Source organism: Homo sapiens, chromosome 15, assembly GCF_000001405.40.
Source record: "Homo sapiens chromosome 15, GRCh38.p14 Primary Assembly".
NCBI lineage: Eukaryota > Metazoa > Chordata > Mammalia > Primates > Hominidae > Homo > Homo sapiens.
This window is the reverse complement of record NC_000015.10, coordinates 50,935,873-50,948,700: the sequence shown is the minus strand read 5'-3', so window position 1 is coordinate 50,948,700 and position 12,828 is coordinate 50,935,873. Positions and strand designations below refer to the sequence as shown.

Below are 12,828 nucleotides of genomic sequence, written 5' to 3'. Positions count from 1 at the left end.
GTGCCCGGCCTAAACAGTAACATTTTTTAATGAATGGAATATGCTTATGACCTGTAAAGTTCTTCTGACTTTTAAGAAACAAACATGAAGAAGAGTAACATGTTAATAGAGTTCCCAACTACTTAACTGTGACAATTTCCAGCTTAAAACAATAAAGGATAAGCTTTAGCATCCTGACCACTCCCACACACCCTCCACTTTCCCCAAAAAGCAAGAACTTTTACTCAGAAAAGAAATCAAGATAGAAGTAGAGACGAGGCAGGACTGAAAGAGGAAAAAGAGGATAAAGGTTCCTCTATCTTCCTGCTCAAAATACTGGACTACATGAATAAAAGAAACCAGCAAAAAAAAAAAAAAAAAAGCCATCTCCTAAGAGGTCTACACAAATCCCTTTTTCTGACAAGAGAGGCTTGAAAATCAGGAATAAAAAGTATTGCTAGGTCTCTGAACTCGACTTGCAAGTGACCATATCTATACCAATCATCTTAAAGTCACTGCATAACTAACTATTTTAAGACTCATGGTCGAAATAAAAGGATATTTCTCAGCCAGCTCTGCTATTTTGCCGACCAAATTGACGATGACATACTCTTCTTTGCTCTGATGTAAATATTCAAGCATTTTCTGGACAATAACTGTTATATTCTGTGCATTAGTAATTCTGTAAAGAAGTTCCAGAGTCTATTTAAAGAAGAAAAATTAAAAACAATATTATAAAACTATGCATAACACCAATGAGTACAGTAACATAAAGGTTGACCATACAGTTGATTCTTCTACTTTTATGGAGATCTACTGGGTAGTCAGTTAACAGGTAAGAAATGCAAATTTCAATGAAAAGCTTAAGAAAGGTAAAACTATCGTCAAAAAATGAATTATGATCAATTCCAATGTCTATAAGCTTCCTACTGAGATAATCACAACCTGACATCTCTACATGACAGAACACTTAGAGACTAAAAAGTTAAAATACAATAGATATATATTTTCTAAAAACATAACAGCCCTTAAATATACATTACCTACAGCTATGGGTGTATATATATGCAAGTGTATGTATGTGTGTATAAATCTAGTCTTGGAAACTATTTCCCATGCTACAGAAGACAGCAGACTATTTCCCAAACAACAGAAGACACCACTTGAGTGGGTTAGGTAATTGAAGGCAATCAGGTTTTGTTTGGATGGACAAAGACTGGTGGCTCAAATGCTTCAAAGCCTAGGTTCAAAATCTCAGTCATCAAGGAAGAACTGTTTTATAGCTACTTTTTTTTTTTTTTTTTTTGAGACAGGGTCTTGCTCTGTCATCCAGGCTGTAGTGCAGTGGTACAATCTCAGCTCAATGCAACCTCCACCTCCTGGGCTCAAGCAATCCTCCCACCTCAGCCTTCCAAATAGGTGGGACTACAGGCACGTGCCACCATGCCCAGCTAATTTTTTGGTATTTTATAGAGATGGAGTTCGACCATGTTGCCCAGGCTGGTCTTGAACTCCTGGGCTCAAGTGATCCTCCCACCTTGGCCTCCCCAAGTGTTGGGATTACAGGCATGAGCCACTGTGCCTGGCCTGTAGCTACTTTCTTTCTTTTCTTTTCTTTTTTTTCTTGAGATGGAGTCTCACTCTGTAGCCCAGGCTAGAGTGCAGTGGCAGGATCTCAGCGTGCCACCAAGCCTGGCTAATTTTTGTATTTTTAGTAGAGATCGGGTTTCACCATGTTGGCCAGGCTGGTCTCGAACTCCTGACCTCAGGTGATCCGCCCACCTCGGCCTCCCAAAGTGCTGGGATTACAGGTGTGAGCCACAGCGCACAGCTGCTACAGCTACTTTCTAAGTGCTGAGGAATATACCTCTTGCTGCTTCAAATAAGATGAAGGAAAACCAATACCAGAGTAAGCTCCCATTTGCATGGCTTGCCACAGCTCTAGATTAAGGTTTCAAAAATATAAGTCTCAGAAATCAATATGAGAAATACTGAGAAAGCATCATTTATTGGTGTTTTAGGATCAGCAATATTAGCTGCAAGATAATTTCCACATATTTGTCAAACTTACTCAATATATTTAGGGTTCTAATTTTTCAATCCTTACAGCCAGGACTTAAAGCAGAAAGGATAACATATTTTGAAAGATTTTTTTTTTCAACGCTGAAAGGAAGTTTTATTATCTTAACTTGACCCAAATTATAATATTATTTATAAAAGTTATATAAATGCAGACTGATGGTTTTGTAAGAGTCGAAAAGCCAAATATAAGTAAAGCACTAGAAATACATTCAGTTATAAAAAGTTGACATTCTTCTAAATGTTATGTGGAATCATAGGAAGAAACATCATTGTAATTATTATTCAAAGTAATGTTAAAGATAACATAAGAGACGTTTGGTCTTAAATGTCAATTTGAATGTGCAGTGTCTACAATAATAGATCAGAGAGAATATACAGAGTATATCTGTAATTAAAACAGGAAAAAATGAGTTAGTTGCAAATACTGTATTCTTCAATAAAAGAATGCAGATTAAGGATAAAATAGTTAGATAGTCTTTATCAACTAGGCATTTTTCAGGGTAGCTAAAAGGAGCAACAATAAAGCTCTACACATGTAACTAAAATGTATGCAATTAATCTAGTCCCAGCACTTTAATTTGTAGAGTTCTCAAATCAAAAGTAACAAATAATTGTACATCAGGATTGTTAGGAATACTAATTATTTTACAACTGCCCCTACATGTTTCTTCTTCTCTGACACAATTGGCACAGATCCAGGCTTGCTGTGTTTAATACGATTCACTTCCTTTCTTCGACGAGCTTCTTTCATGATGCACTGTTCCTGAATCTGGCTGTAGATAGATTTTGGTAGATGTCAATGACAAGCTATACATTTTATATCAGGATGATGCTGAAATTTCTCCTTCAATTTCTAGTTATAATCCTTAGCTGCTTTTTCTCATGATGTAAGCACACCAAATTTTTCAGAAGCATTAGCTTTCCACAGGCAAATGTTCATTTCATCAGATCCACACATAATATACTTGCTGTCAGAAGTGCATTTTACACAGATAACATGTTGCATTCGCTTTGTGTGATATACCTCCCTGCTTCAACTTTTGTCTATAGGAAAGATACAAATAGCTTTATCGAAACTAGCAGACACAAGCTCTTTCCCAGTGGGAGGGTAATCCATGTCAAGCACTGCAGATACATGATCCATATGGAACATTACAGGAGTGTCCAGTGCACACATATCAAAAGTATGTAAGTTATAGTCTTCATTTGCTGCCGTAAAAATGAAAGCTTCCATAGGGTTCCAACAAACTGTATTTGTTCTCATATCTAATATAACCTTTTTCAAAGGAGTAGCTTGCCTCATGTTGTACAGTACTATATTCCTGTCAGACGCACAAACTTCCCAAGAGAAATGTCTCGATTGGGTTAAATTTAACACTACTTACACTGTCAAATCCCCAGGTCATTGAACATACAGGATTAGTTCTTTGTTCATCCCAAATGTCTACTTGCTGTCCACATGTGGCAAAAACAGCTTCTTTACAGTGATGATAAACCCCAGTATACACTGTCTTTCCTAATGTTGTATGTAATGGTTCTTCCTCATCTCCATAGCCTGGCCCATCCATTTTCCATTGTTTCACAGTTTTGTCACCACCAACGGTGAAAAAAGAAGTCCCACAAAAGTGAGTACGTATTCCTTATACAAAGCCTTCATGTGCTTGTATTGTATGGATACATTTCTGTTGAGTCAGGTTCCAAATTCTAACCTCTCCATCACACGCCCCAGAAAGGACAGTAGCCAGGTTCTTTGGATGCTTTGCCAAGCAACTGACTCCATCTTGGTGACCATCCAGCAAAGCAAGGAATGGTTTTGCAAATACTCATTCCATTTTGGTAGCATTTAAAGCTCTTACATATTCTCATGGGACCTCAAAAGGATGTAAGGTAGGATCATAGTTTCTTGGAACTCTCTGTAAGTCCAACTTGGTTTCACAGACATAATTGTCCAGATTCTGGCTCAGTATCTTCATCCTCATCTTGGTTGCTCTTCTGGCCGGACTCCACGAGCTCTTTGCTGTGAGTTCTGTCCACTGCCTGATTTTTTTTTTTTAACTGTTTTAGTTAATGTGTAACACCACTTAAATCTAAAAATACATAGGTCACCCCAACAATAGCTTTCAACTTATGGAGCTGCTTCAGACATGCTCCCTGTGAACTCCAAATTATGTTATATAGTTTTAGATAACATACATCAAATTTATTTCCTATTCTAAGACCATGAAATATGGCATTTCCAGAACTGAATGGGGTATAGTGTTACAAACTGTATTGCCAGAGGTCTTTTCTATTCAGACTTGGTAGCTCCCTCTCACCTTCTCTCCTCCTGTATATGACAGAGGTAATAAAACCTGGTAAAAAGGAATCCTACCCCAAGCTACAGATCACTGAACATCCAAGGACCAAAGTTCTCACCGTATCATTTGATAGAGGTTAGAAGTGACAACAGCATTGAAGAGACAGTACTTTAGTGCCATCTTTGGGCACCAAGGATACTCAGTAACTCCTCAAAGAATTCAAATCACTTTTCTCGCTGCAGGTAAGGGACCAAACAGATCAACCTTCATAATTTTAAAAGTCACCTATTTTCCCTTTGACTCTGATTTTTAAGTGAAAGGATAATTATGAAATACAATAATATTATAAACCCCCTATCTGTGGTTTTGCTTCCCATGGCTTCAGTTACCCACAATCTAAAAAATATTAAATGGAAAATTCCAGAAATCAATAATTCATAAGTTTTAAATTGCATGCCTTTCTGAGTAGCATGATAAAATCTTGCACCATCCTACTCCATCTGGGACATGAATCATCCCTTTGTATTCACACTGTATATGCTACCAGCCCATTAATCATAAAGTAGCCATCTTGGTTATCAGATTGAAAATATATAAATATATACATGGTTCAATACTATCTATGGTTTCAGGCATCCAATGGGTGTATTAGAACATACTTCCATAAATAAGTGGGGACTACCAAATAGCAATAAGAAAAAACTGTACCTAAGTCAACTTTGTTCAACTTAGTACTCAACTATACAAAGGAAATGCATGCTCTGTATCTGTTAAAGCAGAACGGCTGTATAATTATTTGTTACTGTCTCTTCGAGCCTTCTTATTTTTCTAGGATGTCTACACGCAGAAATTAGTACATCTGCAAACTGCCCAGATCCAAGGCATGTAACAATTTTCAGACTACTAAAAATATGAAATAAATAAATATATATGAAGGCAAATTTTTTAAAAAATGTGTTTCAAATGCCTTTTAAAATTTAAAATTTGTAATCTTCAAAAATTATAGTTGTTTAATGTAATAGTGTTCTCTCAATAAACTCTCCTATTCTTAGCTCATTGCTTTTAAGATATTTAGATGTTTAGTATTTAGTAGATTCTCTTTTTTTAAGAATGTAATCATGTCCTTTGCAGCAACATGGATGCAGCTGGAAGCCATTATCCTAAGTGAATTAATGCAAAAACAGAAAATCAAATATCACTTGTTCTCACTTATAAGTGGGAGCTAAACAATGGGTACACATGGATGTAATGATGAAACAATAGACACTGGGGACTCCACAAGCAGGCAGGGAGGGCAGGAGGGGAAAGGAATGAGTTGAAAAACTACCTACCCAGTACTATGTTTACTATTTGGGTGATGGGTTCAATAGACGCCCAAATCTCAGCATTACATAAAATGTCCATGTAATAAACCCACACATGTATCCCCTGAATCTAAAATTATTTAAAAAATTCTTTTTAAATCTTTGCTATTTTTATAAACAGAATTTTTTACTCTTAACTAGGTCCCATATACCATTTGAAATAAAGATATTGAATGATTTCTTCCATAAGAATTAAAAGGAATATTTATATAGACACCCAAGTAGACATTGAAGCAAATTTACAAAAAGAAAAAGTTGGAAAGAAGTATATTATTATTATAAGTAATATATATAATTATATATATTAAAATGTAATATACAAAAGTAATATTATATATAAGTAACATATAGTATATGCTATGTTATATATAATATACAGACATATATGATGATGATATTATTAAGCCTTTCCTTCCAAGAAGTTCAAATCAATTTATGAATATCTTCATTAATTCTTTCAATATTTCTATCTATTTGGTAGGAAATTAATTAATTTTATAGATATAAAAGAGAACAATGAGAAATCATTAATTAACATCAACTGCATCTTAAATTGTACAATAACAGGAAATTGTACTAATAGGAAGACCTGGGACCAGAATTCAGGACTCCTATTGGTATGATGCTCAGATCGAAATTATATTAATGAACCCACACAGATGACTGGACCTAATTCCTTCAACTCATAATTTAAAGACATTCCTGTGGACACTGACATAGTACTTTTTAGAAAAGTTACTTAAACTTTAGTAAAAATAAATAAGCCAGGCACAGTGGCTCACACCTGTAATCCCAGCACTTTGGGAGGCCAAGGCAGGCAGATCACTTGAGGTCAGGATTTCAGGATCGGCCTGGCCAATATGGTGAAACCCCGTTTCTACTAAAAACACAAAAATTAGCCACGCGTGGTGGCACACACCTATAATCCCAGCTACTCAGGAGGCTGAGGCACGAGAATCACTTGAACCCAGGAGGTGGAAGTTGCAGTGAGTTGAGATCATGCCACTGCACTACAGCCTGGGTGACAGAGTGAGATTCTGTCTCAAAATAGAAAACAAAAAAAGGATTAAATACACCCAAAAGTTAAAATATACACACGAGCAAACATACACACTGCCCACCACTTTAATCTCTCTACACAATGCCAACAAAATTTTTAAAAATTTTAACACTTCACATATACTATTCAAAATACCAGTTTACCTCTCTTTTAATAATGGGATCAGGATGATCTAAACATTCAATTATTGTCATCTGGTGTTGAAGAGCCAGAGTAGGATCCTGTTGGATAACATAGGTAAGAGCCTTCAGTCCTAGAAACAAAGACACATTATACAAAGTGAATTGAAACAAATACACAGCAAATTTCAAAAGCTATCTCTGTAATTTCTGTCAAAAGAACCAATCATCTTACCTAAATATTTTAGATTTATTTTAGGTGACAGAACAAATTTTCCAATGCACTTGGCAGCCTTCTCAAGTAATTCCGATTTAGGATAAATAGAATAGACTGTATGCACACATTCAAACAAAATAGCTAGAAAAAGAAACATAAAAATGGCAGGTATCATGGTAAGGTATAACAAAACAATGTATTTGTGTAGAACTTGTAATAAAACTAATTGGAAAGTCCATTTTAGTCAGAAATCTTATTTATGGACTTTTCACAGAAACAAACGCTACTACTTTCAGGCTTACCCAGTTACTAGGATTAGGTTACCACAATACAATGTTCAAAAAATTATATTTACTGGTAATAATTATGCATTTATTAATGGAACAAGTATTTACTGAACACCTCCCATGTGCCAGGCATGGTTTCAGTACTATGAATATAGCAGTGAACAAAACAGATGGAAAAAAACATCCTGCCCTCAAGGAGTTCACATTCTAATGGAAACATCAATAACAGATTCATTATTCCTATATAAAAAGATATTTCCCACGTTCCTTTAATGCTTTAAAATGGTTTATTCTCAAATAGTTTCGACCATTTACGTGCCAAAATTGCGTATGTAGTTTATTTCAACATAATCATTTTATAGGATGATCCAGTATTTATTTCAAAGATACAGTCCCTACTCATAAATCTTCAAACTATTCTTTAAAATAACCTCAAAGCACATAAAATAATCTACTGGACATCTTGATAGCATTCAAATTTTATTTTCTGATACATTCGAAAGTCTCATCACTATGACAGATGATCAAAGTGAATGATCAAAATGGACACTAAAGTTTTTTTCAAATTATTTGAAAAAGCATGAGTCATGCGGTTGGAGCTTTGCCATGATAAAGAAAAATCACTGAAAGGACATTAAGTCTTATGTGTTCTATGGAATCATAGTATCAGAAGTGTGACACAGTGAAGGTACAGAATCAACACTTAAAAACTGTTCTAGTACAAGTTGAAGTATATCAAGTGTCCTGATACAATCACTCCTTCTCTATTTCCAAAAGCTTAAAATATAACCCGACATTCTCTTTATGTACAAAATATATTCTGAATATTCAGCTAGCTATGTTTTACACTATGTTGCCTATCGATTAATGCACAAATAAATTTTGTGGAAAAAACTTCTATAAACCTCTGTCTTTTTCTCAAATTTACAAGGAAAGAAAAGACAAAAAAAAATTTTAAACCTCTTCTATAACAGAGACAGAAAAAAAATCAGATATATTAATTTTTCTTTAAGAAAGGAACTGACTTTAAATGAAAACTACAGAGTAAGTTGGCTGAACCTAAAGAGACTTTGTATATTCAGATGCTATGCTATAAAATGTCTTTACTCTGTGCTGTGAAAAAAGTTCGCTTTATGATTCATGAACTAGACAAACTAAACAAAGAGAACCTTAGTCAATTGACTAATAAGATAAGGCAGGAATGGAGAAACTGCCACTAAATCCAGCCTTCAGCCTATTTTTAAAATGCCACTAAATCCAGCCTTCAGCCTATTTTTATAGGCCTGTGAACTAAAGAAAGATTTTTACATTTTTAAAAGGCTGTAAAAAACAAAACAAAAAGCAAAGGAGAATATGCGACAGAAACCTCCATGACCTGCAAAGCCTAAAATATTTACTATCTGGCCCTCTTTTCAGAAAAAGTTTGCTGAACTGTGAACTACCATGACAGTCCTAAGATTTCAAATGATGATATTCCATTTTCCAACATAACTGACACATTTTTCATTACGGCTTCCTACCATTAAGAACTCTCTTGCTATTAAATTGTTTTACTAACAAAAGCCTGCCATTACCCATCCAAAATTTAAACGTTTATATTCAGATGCTCATAAAGTTTCTGGGGTGCCAACATGGGAAAAAAAATAATAGTTCAAAAACAGCACTTATTTTTAGTTTCCTTAGGCATAATTGAGCTGAAAATGAATTAAATTGATTTTTAAATTATTTTCTCACCCAGAGCTAAGTCATTTTATTCTCCAACTCTACAAATATCTAAGTATAAGTTCATAATTGAAAGAGCAGCCACTCTGCTGTCTCCTCTCTGTGGTGGTGAAGTAAAATACAACTGAGAATTTCTTTTTTTTTTTTTGAGATGCAGTCTGCAACCTCCACCCCCCAGGTTCAAGTGATTCTCCTGCCTTGGCCTCCCAAGTAGCTGGCAGTACAAGCGTGCACCATCATGGCCAGCTAATTTTTGTATTTTTAGTAGAGACAGGGTTTCACCATGTTGGCCAGGCTGGTTTTGAACTCCTAACCTCAAGTGATCTGCCCAACTCAGCCTCCCAAAGTGCTGGGATTACAGGCATGAGCCACCTTGCCCGGCCACAACTGAGGGTTTCTAAACTTAAAAATACAACATGGAACTTGGTTACTCTTCAGTACTCTTGGTTACTCTCTTGGTACTAATTAAAATGCTATAAAGCATAAATTACTAAATTAAAAATTAATAATGTTCCACCATTTATGACACTGCAGTTTCATCATAGATATTTTGGGTTGGATTATGTATGCTCAAACAAAATGTGAAGTTCTTCTGACACCTTATCCCTCAGAATAGAGTTTACTCTCACTTTAATTAAGTTAAATAAGTATCTACTGACATTATTCTGGCAGGAGAGAGGAGGTATCACCCAATGGGAATGGAATCCAGGCTCTCTACTCTGTCTCCTTTGATACCTGGGGATGGAGAGGCTCCTGGTTATTGTTGGAGGGAGTATCAACTGATTCTACCCTGCCTGGGAGAGAGAGGGGTACCTCATTACTGCTTCCTTTGTGGCCTCCAGTGACACTATGAGGGAGTGGCCTCATTATCGCTGATCAGGAGTGGAAGTTCTGACTGTCCACCAGGCTTTCTCTAACACCCACGCCTCCGAACCCTGGCCACAAAGAGGGGAAAATTACCTCTTTACTCCCTACTTCCAGATGGGAAAAATCCAGACTTCCCAAGTCACCTCTGACAGCGTAAGGAAGGGGCCTTCCTTATCACCTGGCATCAATGAAATTCCAGCTGTCTCTTGGGCTTCTGTCACCACTCTAGTGGGGGGTTAGGGAGGGTGTGTTGGGGCATGTCATTATACCTGGTGATGATGGAAATCTTGGCTTTTTCCTCAGCCTTTGCTGGAGGGGATGGGTCCACAGTTTTTTCCTATGCTTGGAAGGAATAGAGGGGTTATCATCTAAAAGTTTTCTACCTTGCTAATTTCCCTTTTCTTCTTGGTCCTTTGGTGAGAGAGGGCAGGCTTTTCTGGGGGTGTTTTTGTCTGCGTCTGTTGGCATTTCCAGACTGCTGGCTCTTCAGTACCCAGTCTGGGGTACCCGAGGCAAAAAGAAAACCCAGGGTACACACCACCGTGTCTGTTTCTTTCCTTGTGTCCTGAGGTCTCTAACCAGCCTGACTTGTTCTCCACCTTCCTGAGTCTTATGTTTCTTATACATAGTATCCAAGGGTTTTAGGTGAAATTAGTGAGAAAAAAAACGGAAAAGTACTTCTATCTACCTACTTTTGATGGCTTTTGTCCCTTGTACTCCATTTTATATAATTTTCTCAATTTACTAATTTACTAAAAATGATATTCTCATGTTATCAGTACCTTATCCAAAAACCTTCCATACCTCCGGATTTACAAATCCAAACTCATTTGGCTGTTGTGACAGGTCCTCCACAATACCGCCCTTCCACTGCTCCCCACCATAAATTATCCTTTCAGACTGGTGAGACATTGTCTCTGAAACTGTTTTTAAATAGCCCCATGTCTACACCTTCTCTCATGTTCCCTCCACCTAAAAGCCCCTTCAATCTCCCTTCTGCCTATCTAAATCTTATCTACCTTTCAGGGTCCTATCACATCAGTAAATCCCTATCTGTGCCCTCAGGCCCTTAATGATCTCTACTTCCTCGGAACTCCTACAATACTTATTTCCCTGAACCATCCCTTCACATTCTGCCTTACACTGGTATTAAGCTTTCATGAACAAGTTATCTTTCCACTATATTGTGAATTTCTTAAAGACAAAGGTCATATATTATACTTCTTCATATCCTATACACCACTTTATACAATGCCTGGCACATAGCAGATATTCAATAGATGTCTTTAATGTAATTTATTTCTTGATTAGACACTAAATTGTAATAATAGAGCTTCCATAAAAATAAAATATAGAAAGTACTAATACTGAAACCCACTTAGATAACTGATAAAGTAAATAACTTCTTCTTCCTTTAATTCAATTAAAGCATATTACTCATTAACACAGTACCAGCTACTGAGATATGCTGGTTAATAAGAGAGACACAGTCCCTGCCCTTATGAAGCTTACAATTAAAATTAACATTCTTAAGCAGTAAAATACCTATATCAGGATTGCTAGCAAATACTCTACCACTGATATAATCAATGTAAGTTATAAGCTCTATCAATACAGATATAGAGAAAAGCATAACAATGAAAAGCTAAACAAAGGAAATGAAACAACAGGAACTATAAGGTTTCTGTAGCAAGGTGAAACACTGGACCAAGAGCCTGCAAAGAAAGAAACTGTTGGTGTTGGTTCAAGCAATCATTTTTTTTTTTTGAGACAGAGTCTTGCTATGTAGCAAAGGCTAGAGTGCAGTGGCATGATCTTGGCTCACTGTAACCTCTGCCTCCCAGGTCCCGGTTCAAGCAATTCTCCTGCATCAGCCTCCCGAGTAGCTGGGATTACAGGAACACGCCACCATGCCCAGCTAATATTTGTATTTTTAGTAGAGACAGGGTTTCACCATATTGGCCAGGTTGGTCTTGAACTCCCGACCTTGTGATCCGCCCACCTCGGCCTCCCAAAGTGCTGGGATCACAGGCGTGAGCCACCATGCCTGGCCAAGCAATCTTAATAAAAGGGTCATTCTGGAAAATATTAAAAAATATTTCCTCAGGTATACAGTATTCTCCAAATCAAAAGGAACGGGTAACAGTGGTTATCCCCAGGAAAGGGAACTGGGTGGTGGGTGATAAGGGTGGAAAGGACACTTACTGTTCATTGTATACCCTTTTGTACCTTTTGAATTTTGACCCATGTGCATATATTACCTATTCAAAAAAATAAAAAAATTAAAGCTGAAATGTCAATTATTAAAATAAAATAAAAAAAACTTTCTGCAAGGGAAAAAAAAAAAGCAGATTTTTAACTGAATTTTAAGCAGAATTTCCCGAAAGACTTTCAAACCCTTATCCTGGACACTGGTTACATCGCAAACAAAAAACTTTAAATTACTTTAACTTACTGGAAAAATTCTGACACTTTTCTAGATCTTCTCAGAAAATCACCTGCTTCAATAAGGGTCATCCACATCTGTGACCCCTTATTCCTGCATAGCAGGAACCTATATAATATCAACTGTTTATTACACTATATACTCATAAGGACAAGGCCTGTGTCTACCTTATTCTTCCCTTTACTTTCCACACTTAGCATGGAGAGATACATAAGTCAATCAACTCTTTCCTCAATCCGCACCTAGTTTAAAACACAATCAAGTTTTTGTTTCACAGGCACTCTATAAATGCTGGCTGAACAAATTAATAAAGCATCCTTATTACCTTAATTACCATTCATACATGCAAAACAAAAATCTATCCTTCAAAGTTTACCACCCCAATTCA

At 36.4% G+C, this 12,828-nt stretch overlaps 1 protein-coding gene and 1 pseudogene across 9 annotated transcripts in view; both read right to left on the bottom strand.

Moving 5' to 3' along the window:
• The window catches only part of AP4E1 (adaptor related protein complex 4 subunit epsilon 1), a 98,404-nt gene that overhangs the window by 57,195 nt on the left and 28,381 nt on the right, over positions 1 to 12,828 (bottom strand). For 7 of the 8 annotated variants that reach the window (XM_005254264.5, NM_001252127.2, NM_007347.5 and 4 more), the window contains exons 9-11: positions 7,137 to 7,259; positions 6,926 to 7,035; positions 542 to 681 (exon numbers count right to left, since the gene is read on the bottom strand). In XM_005254264.5, coding sequence (XP_005254321.1) covers positions 542 to 681; positions 6,926 to 7,035; positions 7,137 to 7,259 — 373 coding nt within the window. Of the gene's footprint in view, positions 1 to 541; positions 682 to 6,925; positions 7,036 to 7,136; positions 7,260 to 12,828 lie in introns of those variants that run through there. The other variant, XM_047432327.1, reaches the window with a different exon arrangement.
• DCAF13P3 (DDB1 and CUL4 associated factor 13 pseudogene 3) lies at positions 2,128 to 4,572 on the bottom strand (annotated as a pseudogene). The gene has a single exon (NR_027642.1). The product of NR_027642.1 is annotated as a DDB1 and CUL4 associated factor 13 pseudogene 3 (transcript).